The sequence below is a fragment of the Homo sapiens genome, chromosome 12, assembly GCF_000001405.40.
Source record: "Homo sapiens chromosome 12, GRCh38.p14 Primary Assembly".
In the NCBI taxonomy this organism is placed as follows: domain Eukaryota; kingdom Metazoa; phylum Chordata; class Mammalia; order Primates; family Hominidae; genus Homo; species Homo sapiens.
Window position 1 is genome coordinate 1,392,135 of NC_000012.12, and position 16,191 is coordinate 1,408,325.

A 16,191-nucleotide genomic window follows, 5' to 3' on the forward strand; every position below is an offset into this window, starting at 1 on the left:
AATGGAGATGTGTAGCGAAGGAGCAGGGTGGGGGTCAGTGATGGAAAATTACTAAGAAGAAACGTCATGGCTGGGGGATTCTTGCCAGACCTACTCAACAGGAGTTGCTGAAGACAAGCCAGAGAGATGACATATTGATAGTGGGAGATGAGGAATTTGATCAGATCTCATGAGTGATCAGGCCTCAAGGGTGGGGATTTATTTTTGAAGGAAGACTTAAGCAAACTACCTTTTCTCTTTAGGAAAATAAAATGTATGTTCTGGGCTTAGATATCTAAGTAATCAGTAGGTTGAATTTTAATGCTTACATGCAGATAACCGATTTTTTTAAGTTATAATTTTCATTACTACCTCATCCCTTAGCCCAAGTCACATATTTACCTGTTTTGGAAAACCATACCTCTGGCAGCAGTTGAGCTTTGATGTCTAGTATCATTACTTTATTCAGCTTCCAATTCATTTTAAGTGGTCCTTAATGGGTATTCATTTCTTATCAGAATCAATCTATACCTGATACTTGTATATTTCTGGAAATCAAAGTTTTTCAAATATTTGGATTTATAAAATTATAAGTGGAAATATTTCAACAACTATGAAGAGATAGATAATTTAAGATACTTTTCTATAATTAACAACTTTTTTTAGAAAAGCCTGATTTTAATAAATGGTGGTTTTCTGTTTTTTTCTTCTACAGAAAAGACTGAAAGCCATTTAGCTCAGTTGTACAAAAAAGAAACTTTAGAGAATAGAGAAAATCAAGAGTGCAATAGTAGCTGTGGGAAAATTTTAACAATGTAACCACGTATGTTTGTACAGATACATATATACAGAGAAATCCTTTTATAATGAATAGTCAGAGTATAGGAGAAAAAAATGGTATTGGAGAGTTTGGCCTTATATCATTTGCTTTCAATCTGAATGGTTCAGTAAGAATCTAAAAATGCCTTTATATCCTCTGGGTTTATTTAAAGATACTTCACTGTATGTACACACAGGTGTATAGTTGGTTTATGTTTTGACTCAGTTATATTCTTTTCTTACCATGTATGGACCATGATTTTGTAAAAAGAAAAGATAAAATTCCCTCAGAACATCTAGCTTTAAGAACTTTGGCTGGGTGTGGTGGCTTACGCCTGTAATCCCAACACTTTGGGAAACTGAAAGGCAAGAGGATCACTTGAGCCCAGGAGTTAGTGACGAGCCTGAGCAACGTGGGGAAACCTCATCTCTACACAACAAAAATTTTAAAAATTAGCTGGGCGTGGTGGTGCACATCTGTAGTCCCAGGCCTTAGGAAGCTGAGATGGGAAGATCGCTTGAGCCCAGGTGGTCAAGGCTGCAGTGAGCTATGATTGTGCTACTGCACTCCAGCCTGGGCGACAGAGGAGACCCTGTCTCAATTTAAATATCAAAAAGAACTTTTATTCTTGTGATCTAAAGTTCTTTTTTTTTTTTCCTTTAGAGAGAACACACGTGTGTGTGTGTGTGTGTGTGTGTGTGTGTGTGTGTGTGTGTAAAGTGCTTGGATTCTTGAAGATCACTTTCTCTGCTTGCTTAGCTGTTCTTCAAGCAGGAGAAAATATGCTGTATTTATGTGATTATAAAAAGCATTGCCAGGCATGGTGGCTCATGCCTGTAATCCCAGCACTTTGGGAGGCCGGGGCGGGCAGATCACGAGGTCAGGAGATTGAGACCACGGTGAAACCCCGTCTCTACTAAAACGACAAAAAAATTAGCCAAGTGTGGTGGCGGGCGCCTGTAGTCCCAGCTACTCCGGAGGCTGAGGCAGGAGAATGGCGTGAACCCGGGAGGCGGAGGTTGCAGTGAGCTGAGATTTCGCCACTGCACTCCAGCCTGGGTGACAGAGTGAGACTCCGTCTCAAAAAAAAAAAAAAAAAACAAAAAAAAAACCACAAAGCATTAAGCAATTTAATTTCTGTATATTTAGTAAGGAAGTGATCATACTTTAAAAAAAAACTTTTTAGGCCGGGCACAGTGGCTCACACCTGTAATCCCAGCACTTTGGGAGGCCAAGGCGGGCAGATCACGAGGTCAGGAGATCGAGACCATCCTGGCTAACACGGTGAAACCCCATCTCTACTAAAAATACAAAAAATTAGCCAGGCGTGGTGGCGGGCTCCTGTAGTCCCAGCTACTGGGGAGGCTGAGGCAGGAGAATGGTGTGAACCTGGGAGGCGGAGCTTGCAGTGAGCCGAGATTGCGCCACTGCACTCTAGCCTGGGTGACAGAGCAAGACTCCTCTAAAAACAAAAAAAGAAAAAAGAAATTTAGTATTACTTCTTGTTTTCGTGGCCTCTGTATCTGTAAAATACAACTGTACACTCAGTGATATGGTTTGGCTTTGTGTCCCCAACCAAATCTCATGTTGATTGTTATTCACAGTGTTGAAGAAGGGGCCTGATGAGAGGTGATTGGATGGGGGCAGCATTCCTCCCTGTTGTTCTCATGATAGTGAGTGAGTTCTCTTGAGATCTGATGGTTTAAAAGTGTGCGATACTTCCCCCCTCACCTGTGCTCTCACTCTCTCCTGCCACCATGTAGAAAAGGTGCTTGCTTCCCTTTCACCTTCCGCCATGATTGTAAGTTTCCTGAGGCCTTCCAGTCATGTTTCCTGTGAAGCCTGAGGGACTGAGTCAATTGAACCAATTTTCTTCATAAATTTACCCAGTCTCGGGTAGTTCTTTACAGCAGTGTGAGAGCAGACTAATACACTCAGCCACTCAGATAACCTAAATTACAGACAAACTGTGGTAAATGTTCTTGGATCCTGGCCATTGTTCACTGATTTTTAGAATAACAGAATGCACTTGCCTGCATTTTCTTCTTTTCTTTAGATATGGTGTTGAGTCTCACTGAATCCAGCTAATAATTCCCTTTAAACATTCTGTTCTTTGAGAACAGATACAGCTGGGAGAAATGATCCTATGACATTAAAACTAGAATTGGATTGCATTAGGTTTATTGCAAGGATGTGAGATCTGTACTCCAAAGTGGGGCAGTGACCAGGAGCAAAGGCTCAACCACTCTTTGTTTTTGAACAGTTTCATTTTAGGTACTGCACTGGGCCATTATAGGCAAATTGGCCCAAAAGGTATTTCACTCCTGGAACTTAAGTTCATGACCAACTTTTAGGAATGGCTTTTTAGATCTGACTGTTACTTTTTCACCAGAATGTACCATAATTATATACCATGGCCTTGCCAGAAAACAGGAAATCTTTCAAAAATTAGGAGTGGAATAGAAATTTTGTAGTTTTTTTTTTTTTTTCAGTTTTAAAATGTTGAATGTGTTTTTATCCTTGTGTTAATATATGTTTGAAGAGAGAAAATATAGGCTGCTCTTCTCCAGAGTTCGAAGTTAAAGTCTGCACAGCATATGGGAAAGTGCTAAATATACATGGTAATTGGAATTAACCATTAAGATGAACATACTCATTCTGGCAGCTAAGAAGGGATATCTTCAGCTCAGGGAAAACTATAAGCTATGTTTGTAAGTCCACCCAGCTGGGTTATGTGTCTGGGTTATAGAAGCCAGGAATCCCATGCAAGCGTTTCTAAGGATTACAAAAACGGTCATGATGAGATGGAAGAGAACAGTTTCTTAAGAACGAGCAGATAGACCAAAAAAAATTTTTTTTATTTGCTTTCTACCAAGAGGGGGAAAAAAGTAGTTTTCATGGGAAATATGTTGAAAGAACAGATGTCTTGTGAGCTTAATTCCATAAATGGTGATGTGCCCAAGAATACCCTGAGATAAGAAGAAAAACTACATGGAGTCTTAAAAAAAAAAATCACTGAGTCCTAAAGTAAATAAGTGAATATCCATAATCAACAATTTTCCTTTTCATATTAAATCTATTTGCGTGGAAGGAAATGAAGGAGAAAACTTTATAAATATGTGTAAACTGGAGTCCCTGGATTCTAGAGTTCTTTTGTGAAACTAGTGTAAGGAACAGAAATTGTCTTTTTATCTGAGAAAAAACTGTGCTAGTTGAGATGTCTATTTTCTTTGCTTTTGACTGAGATAACTCACTGTGGTAACACTGGGTTTTAAATTCTGATTGGTAACTATATATCTATTTTTGTTTAATACAAAGAGGAAAATGAATTATTTAATAAAGGAATTTTTATAGAAAAAGCATTCAAAATGTTAGACTCATTGCCAAAAAATATATGTCGTCCTTAATCGTAGGAAAGGTGGGAGCTACAAACCTATCATTTTTTTGCACCAATCATGGAAAATTGATTCTTGAATTCAACAAACATATAAAGGATTTTATCTAAGCTGGCAATTTTACTAGGTACTGAGTTGATAGAAAGATGAATGAGACTCTGTCGCAGCCCTCATAAACTCAAATCTATTGGAAGAAAAGATATGTAAACAGATGATTAGAATCTGTTTCAGATAGCGCGGAAAGCCTTTTGTTCCAAACCTCAAGAAGCTGCATAAGCTTTTACCACCTCTAAAAATTTGTCATGTGTGGTTGAGCTCATGTGAGAGAATGGTGTCAGAATCAAAGAGGGGGCTGAAAGATAAAGATGAGGTGTGTGAGCCTATGCAGCAGCTGCCCAGGGGCTAGCAGACGTAGTTATGACTAGAAGGACTTGGGTTTACAAAATGCCTATACAGAGAATGGAGGTGAGGCATTGAGCTCACAAGAGGTGGGGAGTTGGAACCGAACCTCTGCTGAAGATGGGTCCATTAGAGGCTCGCTGTGCAGAAAAGCAAGACTCGTTCAGTCAAACGCCTACCAGTGACAGATGACAAAGAAGCTTTTCTCTGCCCTGACTCTGGGAAGGAGCCCAGAGTCAGCTCTAAGAAACCAAAGTTATCAAGCCTGTACCTTCCCCAGGTTTAGACTAAAAATTTATGTCACTACTTGTCTGGGAAGTTCCTACCTGAAGATCACAAAGAAAGAAATGTACATGGTCCTTACCCATTCATAGTAAGATAATGGCAAGCTGAGGTGCTTTGTGACCAAAATCGAGAATTTAACAACACACTCAATTAAGCAGGCTGTGCACATTGGGAACTCTGATACTCTCCTGGTGGGAATGCAAAATGTAGACCTCTTATAGAGGCAGTTTGGCAATATGTAGTAACATTGCTTATCTGTGCGTTGACTTTGTGACCCAGAAGCTTTACTTCTAGAAATTGGTCCCACAGACACATCTTCAAAAATACAAAATAACATATACACAAGGAAATTCATTGCTATAATATTTATAATAGCAACAGATTCAAAATAACCCAGTTGTGCCACAGTGGGATATTTGTTGTCAATTATAGTATATCCATCAGAGTGGAATACTGTGCAGCTGTAGAAAGGGATGAGAAAGATCTCTATTGATATGGAGCGATTCCCAGAACATACTGTTAAATGAAAAAGCAAGATGCAGAATAATGTATTTAACATATTACTTTTTATGTAAGAAAAGGGGGAACATGTGCAATTATATGAGTATATGATTGCTAATAATTGCAAGAAGAAACAATTGAAAGACAAATCAAAAATTTACCCAAAAAAGTTACCTCTAAAAAGGAGGGAACAGGATAGAGGAGACAGGGGTGGAAGCAAGCCTTCTGTGATTATACCTAGTTATATAGTTTTGACTCTAGAATCAAATGAATGTATTACATAATCAAAAATAAAATTAGATCTGAAAAAAGGAAAAAAGCAGTCCTTGAAATTTAAAAACAAACAGAAACAAATGAATCTAATTATATATTAAATTGTTGACATTCACATTGAGCAAATAATTATTTCAGCTAACTTTATAATACAGATTTTTCTCTGTACATCTCAGTAGGATAAACTCCAAGTAAAAGAACAAAAATGCGAAGTTTTTTTTAGTGGTCTCACTCTCTCCCAGGCTGGAGCGCAGGGGCACAGTCACCACTCACTGCAGCCTCAACCTCCCAGGCTCAATCGATCCTCCCACCTCAGCCTCCCAAGTAGCTGGGACTGCGGGCACATGCCACCGTGTCTGGCTAGTTTTTGTATTTTTTGTAGAGATGGGGTTTCACCATGTTGCCCAGGCTGGTCTCAAACTCCTGGGCTCAAGTGATCCTCCCTCCTCAGCCTCCCAAAGTGCTGGAATTGTAGACGTGAGCCACCGTGCCCAGCCCAAATAGATTTTAGAGTTCATCCTGAAGGCATATTGATAGTAATTGTATTGGTTTTGAATTTTAAAAGCATTATATTGTTAGAGAAAACAAATAACAAGTAATTATGTTATTGTTAGGAACCAAAATTTTTCAGCATAAGAGAAAAAAATATAAAGTATAAAATCAAAGTAGTTTAGTAAACCCAGTCTTCAAGACTGAGATCTGTAATCTTAAATCTGAATTTAAAACATTACTGTTAACCAATAATTTTCTCCCTTTTAAAAAAATATTTATTTCCTATCTCTGACTGAACCAGACTAGAAGAAATGATAAATAATAAACACCCCACAGCCGGATTGTGGTTTCCCACTTAGTCTGTGTATGGTATGCTGCTATAACAAAGTCGGTAGGTAGGTAGATTATAAAGAACAGAAATTTATTTTTTCACAGTTCTGGAACTGGGAAGTCTAAGATCAAGGCACCAGCAGGTTTGGTTGTCTGGTAAGGGCCGCTTTTGACTTTTAAGATGGTACCTTGTTGCTGTATCCTCCAGAGGGCAGGGACGCTTTGTCCTTGCACACATCTATTCATTTACTCATTTGTTTATGTAATGAGTTCCCTAGTAAACTTCAGTGCTGACAAATGAGTTTATTTTCTTTTCTCCTACTTTTTTTTTTTTTTTTTTTTTTTTTTTTTTGTTGAAACAAGGTCTCACTCTGTCAACCAGGCTGGAGAGCAATGGTGCGATCATGACCCAAGGCAGCCTTGACCTTCTGGGCTCAAGCAATCCTCCCACCTCAGCCTCCAAAGTACCTGGGACTACACACAGGCATGTGACATCATGCCCAGCAATTTTTTTTTATTTTTTTGTAGATACAGGGTCTGGTTATGTTGCCCAGGCTGGTCTCAAACTTATAGGCTCAAGCAGTCCTCCCACCTCAGCATTCCAAAGTGCTGGGATTACACGTGTGAGCCATCACGCCTGCCCTCTCTTAATATTTTTTAAGAGCAAAAGCATTATTTACTTACATGGCTGCACATTGGCTTATTTTATATACCTTTATTGAGATATGATTCACATCCCATGCAATTTACCCGTTTAAAATATGCCATTCCATATTGTTTAGTAAATCACAGAAATGTGTAACCATCACTACAATACCCTATTTTTTAAAGTATCTTTTTCTAGTATTATTTCAGTGTCATCGCTTTTTATATATTAAATACATTTTCACAAATTGAAAGCATTATTGATTTTGCTGCTCAAATTGTTAAATGTAGCCATTGTCCCTTTCCCCCAGGCCTGGCAACCACTGATCTACTTTCTCTATATATAGATTTGCCTATTCTGGAGATTTCATATAAGTGAAATAATATACTATGTTGCCTTTTGCAGGACTTCTTTAACTTGGCATCATGTTTTCAAGGTTCATTGATACTTGTAGCATGTATCAGTACTTCATTCCTTTTTATGGCTAATAGCTCATTATATGGATATGCCAGATTTTATGTATCCATTCATAAGTTGTTGGATATTTGGGTTGTTCCTCTTTTTTGACTATAATAAATAATGATGCCGTGAACATTTGTGGGTGCTTTTTTGCATGGAAACACGTTTTCAGTTATCTTGAGTATATACCTAGGATTGGAATTGCTAAGTCATATGGTAATTGTATGTTTGCCATTTTAAGGAACTACCAAAATGTTTTGCAAAGAGACCTTACCACTCTACAATCCCACCAGCAATATATGACCGTCCCTACACATTCTCACCAACACTTGTTATTGACTTTTAATAGCCACCCTGGTGGATGTGATGTGGTATCTCATTATGGGGTTTTGTTTGTTTTGTTTTATATTGTATTGCTTCTCCGTTGTTCCTGTAGATCACTGTGGCTTTGATACGCATTTCCCTATTGGTGTTGCACATCTTTTCTTGTGCTTACTGCCTATTTGTGAATCTTCTTTGTTGATTGAAAAGATTCAAATCCCTTGCTCATTTTTAATTGGGGTATTTGTATTTTTATTATTGAGTTGTAAGAGTTCTAGACACAAGTCCTTTATCATATATATGATTTATAAATATGTTCTCCCATCCTGTCGTTCTCTTTTCACTTTCTTGTTGATACTGTTTACAGCATAAAATTTTATAAATTTTGATGTGCTCCGATTTATTTTTTTTTCTTTTGCCGCTTTCGCTCTTTGGGTATATTATCCAAGAAATCACTGCCTAACCCAGGCCTCAAAGATTTACTCTTATGTTTTGTTCTAAGAGTTTTATAGTTTTAGCTCTTCCATTTAGCTCTTTGGCCCATTTTGAGTTTATTCTTTTATATGTTCTGAGACTGAGACTTAATGAGTTTGACATCATTTTCTTTGCATGTCTATTTCTATTTGTCCCACACCATGGGATGAAAAGAGTATTCTTTCTCCATTAGATTGTCTTGGTACCCTTACTGGAAATCAGTTGACCATAAAAAAATGATGATTTGTTTCTGGACTCTCAATTTTGTTTCATTGATTTCTTTGTCCATCTTTATGCTGATAACACACTGTAGGTAAACCTACTATTTACTGTAGGATCTGAAATCAGAAAGTATGAGTCTTCCTAACTTTATTCTTCTCATTCAATATTGTTTTGGCTATTTTTGTATTTTTTTTTTTTTTTTTTTTTTTTTTTTTTTTTTTTTGTGACGGAGTCTTGCTCTATCGCCCAGGCTGGAGTGCAGTGGCGTGATCTGGGCTCACTGCAAGCTCCACCTCCCGGGTTCACGCCATTCTCCTGCCTCAGCCTCCCGAGTAGCTGGGACTACAGACGCCCACCGCTGCGCCCGGCTAATTTTTTGTATTTTTAGTAGAGACGGGGTTTCACGTGTTAGCCAGGATGGTCTCCATCTCCTGACCTTGTGATCCGCCCGTCTCAGCCTTCCAAAGTGCTGGGATTACAGGCGTGAGCCACCGCGCCCAGCCCTATTTTTGTATTTTTTAAAACACCATGTGAATTTACAGTTCTCTCAAAAATTGAAGAAGCAGTAATAGAAGTAGCACTAATAGTAGCAGTAGTCATAGTAGTAGAAGAAGAAATGCTGTAGCAAATAAAGGGGAGGGAGGATAAAGGAAGCAGGTAGAGCAGTAGAATCGTTTCTGAAGGAGGACATGGATGTATGGGTTTTTTCTGTTCTTTCCTCTGGTGTATGTTTGGAAATTCTCCATATAAAATATAATTATTTTAGTTTTAAAAGGAGAACAGGCTCTGAAGCTAGACTGTTTGTATTAGAGCTCTAGCCCTGTGACTTATTCATCATATGAATGTCGCTAAGTTATTTAGGCTCTCTGTACCTCAATAAAATTGACATGCAAATTGTACCAACTTCATATTGTTGCTATGAGGATTAAATTACCTAAAGCTCTCAGAATACTTGGCACTTAGTAAGTATTCAGTAAATGTTGGCTTGGAAATTGACTATTTTTGAAGGGAGGGCGGTAAAAAAAAAAAAAAAAAAGAGTATTTTTAAAAGTACACGTAGATTTACCAAATAATCAATAAATCTAGTTATTCAATTAAAAACTTAGTGGCAAGTTAACGTATATGAAAGGAGAATTAATGAACTTGAAGATTCTGCCGAAATTATCCAAAATGCAGTGCAGAAGGATAAAACAAAATTGAAAATATCAAAGAGAGATTAGGAGACATGGAAAACAGACTGAGAAGGTACATTCATCTGATAGGAGTTTTGAGAAAGACCATAGGGGAAATTCAGAAGGACCAATATTGCAAAATAGGAAAGTATACATTTAAAAAACTGGAAATTACAGATTTTGCAAATTAGAAAATAAGGAAATTGCAAATATTGTAAAAAAGAGAAATTGCAAAATATTTAGAACAGGGAAAAACACTTTATATCAAAATTTGTGAGATGCTGCTAAAGCAGTTCTTGGAGGAAAATTTATACTCTTAACACATATATAAAATTGAAAATGAAAAGGCTGGGCACGGTGGCTCACGCCGTAATCCCAGCACTTTGGGAGGCCAAGGCAGGTGGATCACTTGAGGTCAGGAGTTCAAAACCAGCCTGGCCAACATGATGAAACCCCGTCTCTACTAAAAATACAAAAGTTAGCTGGGCATGGTGGCGGGCATCTGTAATCTCAGCTACTCAGGAGGCTGAGAAAGGAGAATCGCTTGAACCCGGAGGTTGTAGTGAGCCGAGATCACACCACTGCACTCCAGCCTGGGTGACAGAGAGAGAGACTGTCTCAAAAAAAAGAAAGAGAAAGAAAAAAAGAAAGAACAGTAATGAGCTAAGCATCCAAATCAAGAAATAGAAAAAGAATATCTGTGTAACCCCCAACACACACACACACACACACACACACACACAAAAGAACAAAGAAAATAAAAACAAATTAAATGAAATAGAAAACAAGCTGTAAGAGAAGATCAGTGAAACTAAAAGCTAGCTCTTAGAGAGGATTTAATGACTTAATTAGATGTGAAATACATAGTGAGACAGATTGTTCATGAAGAAAAGACCAGATATTATAATAATTTTAACAGTGACTTAATCTGATGTCCCTTCAGACTTCTATTACTAAAGAATTAATTAGTCTGCTTTTATTCTGGTTAATAGAACCTGCAACTGAACTCTCAGATTTTTTTTATCAATACTAAAACACAAATCTAATTAGAATTTAAACTTTTTCTTTTAATAGCTGCGTTTGGATAACCTATCCTGTCTCTTAGCTTATGTATTCTTCTATGAAATGTAGTTTCTGTAACAAGTTATTTTAACATTTTGGACATTGACATTTTTGTCGTAGAAGAAAAAATTAACAGAATAGACAACTAACTCCTTTTTCCTCTGGGAGGGTATGTATACCTGGAGATATACATTGATAGCAAAGAAGTCTATTTCAGCAAGTTTCTTCCTTCTTCCCTTCTTCCTTTTTTTTCCCCCTTCCTTCCTTCAGACAACGTTATTCTTTATGTCGTTGGGACCAGGGGTTTCATCTCCCTGCACATGCACCTGGCACGGTTCAAGAGGAAAAACATTTGGATATAAAATATCTTTCATGTCAGTAAAACATGAAGGAATTACTCCTTTTGCTTTTTGGTCTTATCTTGAGAAGAGCATACTATGAGAGCCCCTTAAGAGCACAGAGTCATTTATATGATCTGTGTAACATCTAATGCTCTGTGAGCTGTCAGATATTTAGTGCTCAACATCATAACTATGCAGGGAACAGACTTCACACCAAGTTTCTTCATACTAGACCTAGGAACACTAAACTTTGATCATCTTCGTGTCTTTTTGGAAATGGAGAAGTAAGTTCTTACAACTGTTTTTTTCATTCTCTGACGTGGATCAAATAAGGAATCTTTGGTCTTATCTGTCCACTTGGATCAGTTTTTTTCAGGCAGGCATACGTACTCACTCCTAAGAAGTACTTTAAATGCGTTCTGCCTTGAAAATGGATTTGTGTGTACTTTATTAGGATTTCTTTTTAAGTTTTTAAACTTATGCTAGATATCAGATATTAAAGATTGTCTCATGTTCTAAGAAAATAACTAGCCAAGTCTACTTTCACCCACATTCCTGTTAAAGTCAACATGGAAAGGTTTCTTAACCAATTGAATGACATGATACAGATGTTTCGCTCACTTTCTGTATATGCCTCTTTCCTTTCTTCTATTTTCCTTTTTTCTGAGAGCTGCTTTGCAGAAGACTTTGTCATGAAATACCACATGCCATAAGAAAAATTAGCCTACATCTTTTCAAGATTGTCTTAGTCCATTCAGACTGCTATAACAAAATAACTCAGACTGAGTAATTTATAAACAATAGAAATTTATTGCTCACCATTTTGGAGACCAGAAGTGCAAGATCAAGGCAGCAGCAGATTCGGTGTCTGATGAGGGCTTGCTCTCGGCTTCGTAGATAATGCTGCTTCACTGCATCTTCACACTGCAGAAGGGCAAACGGGCTCCCTCGGGCCTTTTTCCAAGTATAATGGATACATTTATTTATTTACTCATCCATTTATTTATTCATTCATTTATTTACTCATCCATTTACTTATTCATTCATTTGCAATAATCCTTTGAACAACTACTGTTTGCAAAAAAAAAAAAAAGTATGTTATTTGCCACCAGTTTGATAATGGAGATAACAGTTCTATATGAAAAAATCGATAGTTGGTCTCACAAGCAAAGTGTGCTGGGAGAGCAAAAACAGAAGAAAAACATTATTTTCATATTTTCTCTTTTGAGTGAGACACTGTCCTCTTTAGGAGTTCAGTTTCCTACCAGTGATAGAACTAGATATTTACATCTCCCAAATCAAAGTACAAACTTTGGCCATAGAACCTTGTTCCTCGTTATTTTCTTTTTATTTTCAACTTTTATTTTAGATTCGGGGGATGCATACACAGGTTTGTTCCCTGGGTATATTGCATAGTACCCTCAGGCCTTTTTTACAGGGATGCTAATCTCATTCATGAGGGTTCCACCCTCTGACCTAATCATCTCCAAAAGGCCCATTTCATAATACCACCAAATCAAAGGTTAAGTTTCAACATCTAAATGTGGGGAGAGCCGGGCGCAGTGGCTCATGCCTGTAATCCCAGCACTTTGGGAGGCTGAGGCAGGCTGATCACTTGGGGTCAGGAGTTTGAGACCAGCCAGGCCAGCATAGCAAAACCCTGTCTCTACTAAAAATACAAAAAAAATAGCCAGCGTGGTGGTGTGTGCCTCTAATCCGAGCTACTTGGGAGTCTGAGGCAAGAGAATTGCTTGAGCCCAGGAGGCAAAAGTTGCAGCGAGCTGAGATCTCGCCACTGCATTCCAGCCTGGGCAAGAGAACGAGACTCCGGCTCAAAAAATATAAATAAATAAATAAATAAATAAATAAATAAATATAAATAAAATAATATAAAATTGGGGGGAACACAAACATTCAGACCATAGCAAAGGTCTCTGGGGGTCCTCCCAGAAAAGAGAAATTTGATTCACAGATAATTTATTAATCGGTTTTTTTTTTTTCTATCGTTATGTACTGGAGGGAGGAATTGACTTTAAAATGTGCTTACATTATTAGGTGAAAATGTAAAGAACCTAAATCTTCAACAGTATGGGACTCACTAAATATCCATTCAGGGGACCAGGCACAGTTGCTCACGCCTGTAATCCCAGCACTTTGGGAGGCCAAAGCAGGCGGATTATATGAGGTCAGGAGTTCGAGACCAGCAAGGCCAACATAGTGAAACCCATCTCTGTTAAAAATACAAAAAATAGCCGGGCGTGGTGGCAGGCGCCTGTAATCCCAGCTACTCGGGAGGCTGAGGCAGGAGAATCACTTGAACCCAGGAGGCAGAGGTTGCAGTGAGCCAGGATCACGCCATTGCACTCCAGTCTGGGTGACAGAGCAAGACTCCATCTCAAAAAAATTAAATAAATGGATATCTATTCAGCCAAATGCTGTGTAGCCAGTTAAAAGTAGATTTTGGGCTGGTCACCGTGGCTCACGCCTGTAATCCCAACTCTCTGAGAAGCCAAGACGGGGGGATCACTTAAGGCCAGGAGTTTAAGACCAGCCTGGGCAACATAGTGAGACCCCATTTCTAAAGTTTCTAAAAAAAATACATAAACTTTCTAAAACCAACAAATAAATATATATACATATGTATATATACACACATATACACGTATACATATATGTGTAATTTTTTAAAACAGTATTTTAGAATACTATTTAATGACATGAAAAAATGGTCATGATAATGATGATAGCTAAAATGTATTGGGTGTCAGTTTTACGCCAGACACCTTTTTAAGTGCTCTCCTTGTGTTAATTCAACAGGTTAATCCTCACAGCAGTCTTATGTAGGAGAAAACTGTTGTTATCCCCATTTTAAAGGTGAGGAAACTGAGACTCAACAGCATTTACATAGCTTGCCTGAAGTCAGCTGGTGAGAGACAGAGCTAGAGTTTAAACTCAGGCAATTTGGCTCTTTTAAATCCCTTGCTCAGACATATTACATATCTCTGTAAATTTTTTTTATGAAACTAGACAAACTATTTTTAATTCATCTAGAAACTAAAATGTGTTAAAAATAACCTGTCAAATTTTGACAGAGTAGAATTGGTGGACATATTCTACCAGGTATGAAAATATGCTATAAGATATAGTAATTTTTAAAATATCCTAGTGTAGCTGAAATAGAGAAAAAGTAGAATAAATCAGAAGAGCATGCCACTTTTTATGTTCACAGGGAGGGGACTAAATGGATACACCTAAATATTAAGAGTGACAATCACTGATAGAGGAATTATAGATGATTTTTCTTTCTTTTCTCTTTTTTGTTTGTACTTTATTTTTTAAATTATCTATAATGCCAGGAGTTCAAGACCACCCTAGACAACATAGTGAGACCCTGTCTCTACAAAAGAAAATTTTTTAATTAGCTGGGTGTGGTGGTGCCTACCTATAGTCCCAGCTACTCAGGAGGCTGAGTTGGGAGGATCACTTGAGCCCAGGAGTCTGAGGTTGCAGTGAGCAGTGATGATGCCACTGTACTGTACAGCCTGGGTGACAGAATGAGACTCTCTCTAAAATATAACAAAGAAAACCCAAATTATCTTTAGTGAGTATTTTTAAATCATACAGTATTAGCAAGTTTATTTTTAATGCTTTAAAACTTCAAGTTTTAACAATATTTTACTAGTGTAACATATTGCTGTTTGATTTTATGCATCATGTACCCTGGCATTTTCTAAGCTGCTTACTCTGCAGAGTTAATTTTTCTAAAATGTTCAATATATTATTCATTTATTCAAGGCCTAAATTAACCACTCACACAGAATCACTAATCCAGTCTTCCTTTTTGATAAAGATGGAGAAAAGACAATGGGATTATAGTCCTTTTCTGGCTTAGGGTTGAGGAGAAGGATTTCAGAACTTTTAACTTATTTTTAAGACTCGAATTGTTTATTGATGGTATAAAGAAAAGCTATTTATATATATATATATGAGAGAGAGAGAGCACTTCTGTCTGAACACCTCACTGAACTCTGTAGTAAATTGTAATAGTTGTTCAATTGATTTTTTTATTGAGACCCTGTCTCTACAAAGAAAATTTTAAAATTAAGCATGGTGGCGTGCACCTGTAGTCCCAGCTGCTCGGGAAACTGAGGCCAGAGGATGGCTTGAGGCCAGGAGCTTGAGACAAGCCTGGGCAACATAGTGAGACCCTGTCTCTTTATTTTATTTTTTATTTTTTTAAAAAGACAGTTCATGAAGTGCTTGATTTGGGGATATTGCCTCTTCCCCAAAAATTTCTGTATCAATTTAATTGCCAGTCTTAGCCCAAGCTGCCATAATAAAATGCCATTAACTGGATAGCTTAATCAAACAGAAATTTATTTTCTCACAGTTTGGAGAAATCAAGGTAGTGTTTGATTCAGTTCCTAGTGAAGGTTCTTCCTGGCTTGCAGAGGCTGCCTAATTACTGGATCCTCATATGACAGAGATATAAAGAGAAATCCCTCTATTTTTCTCTTCTTCTTCTTACGAAGCCCAGTCCTATCAGATTAAGGCCCCACCCTTATGACTTCATTTAACCTTAATTACCTCCTGAAGACCCTGTCTCTGGGTATGGTAACGTTGGGGTTTAGGGGTTCTACATATGAATTTGGGGGAGGCACAATTCAGCCCGTAGTATTGGCTAAACTCTTTCCAGTATCCTCAGAAATCCCATATTTAGTTTATTTTATTGCAGACAGGATTAGTTTTATCCTTTCTTATGGAACTCTTAAAATACTCGTTACTTTACAGTGTGTCATAGAAACTTTACTTAAATTTAACCTTATGAATAATTTCTTCCTAGACGCAAAATCGAATGAAGCTAATGGCCGACAACTACGAGGATGACCACTTCAAATCCTCCCATTCCAATCAAACAAATCACAAGCCCTCCCCAGACCAGGTAAGATGGCTCTGGAATGTTTTATTAAAAAACCCACACACTTAAATTTTGAAATGTTTTTGTACTAGCATGTTGCAA

General features: G+C 37.7%; 1 protein-coding gene across 54 annotated transcripts in view; it reads left to right on the plus strand.

Moving 5' to 3' along the window:
• ERC1 (ELKS/RAB6-interacting/CAST family member 1) overlaps positions 1-16,191 on the plus strand; it is a 505,975-nt gene that overhangs the window by 402,176 nt on the left and 87,608 nt on the right. For all 54 annotated transcript variants that reach the window (NR_027948.3, NR_027946.3, NR_027949.3 and 51 more), the window contains one exon: positions 16,015-16,113. Coding sequence is in view for 50 of the 54 variants with exons in the window: in XM_047428566.1 (XP_047284522.1) it covers positions 16,015-16,113 (99 nt within the window). In the remaining 4 variants the exon portion in view is untranslated. The remainder of the gene's footprint in view (positions 1-16,014; positions 16,114-16,191) is intronic.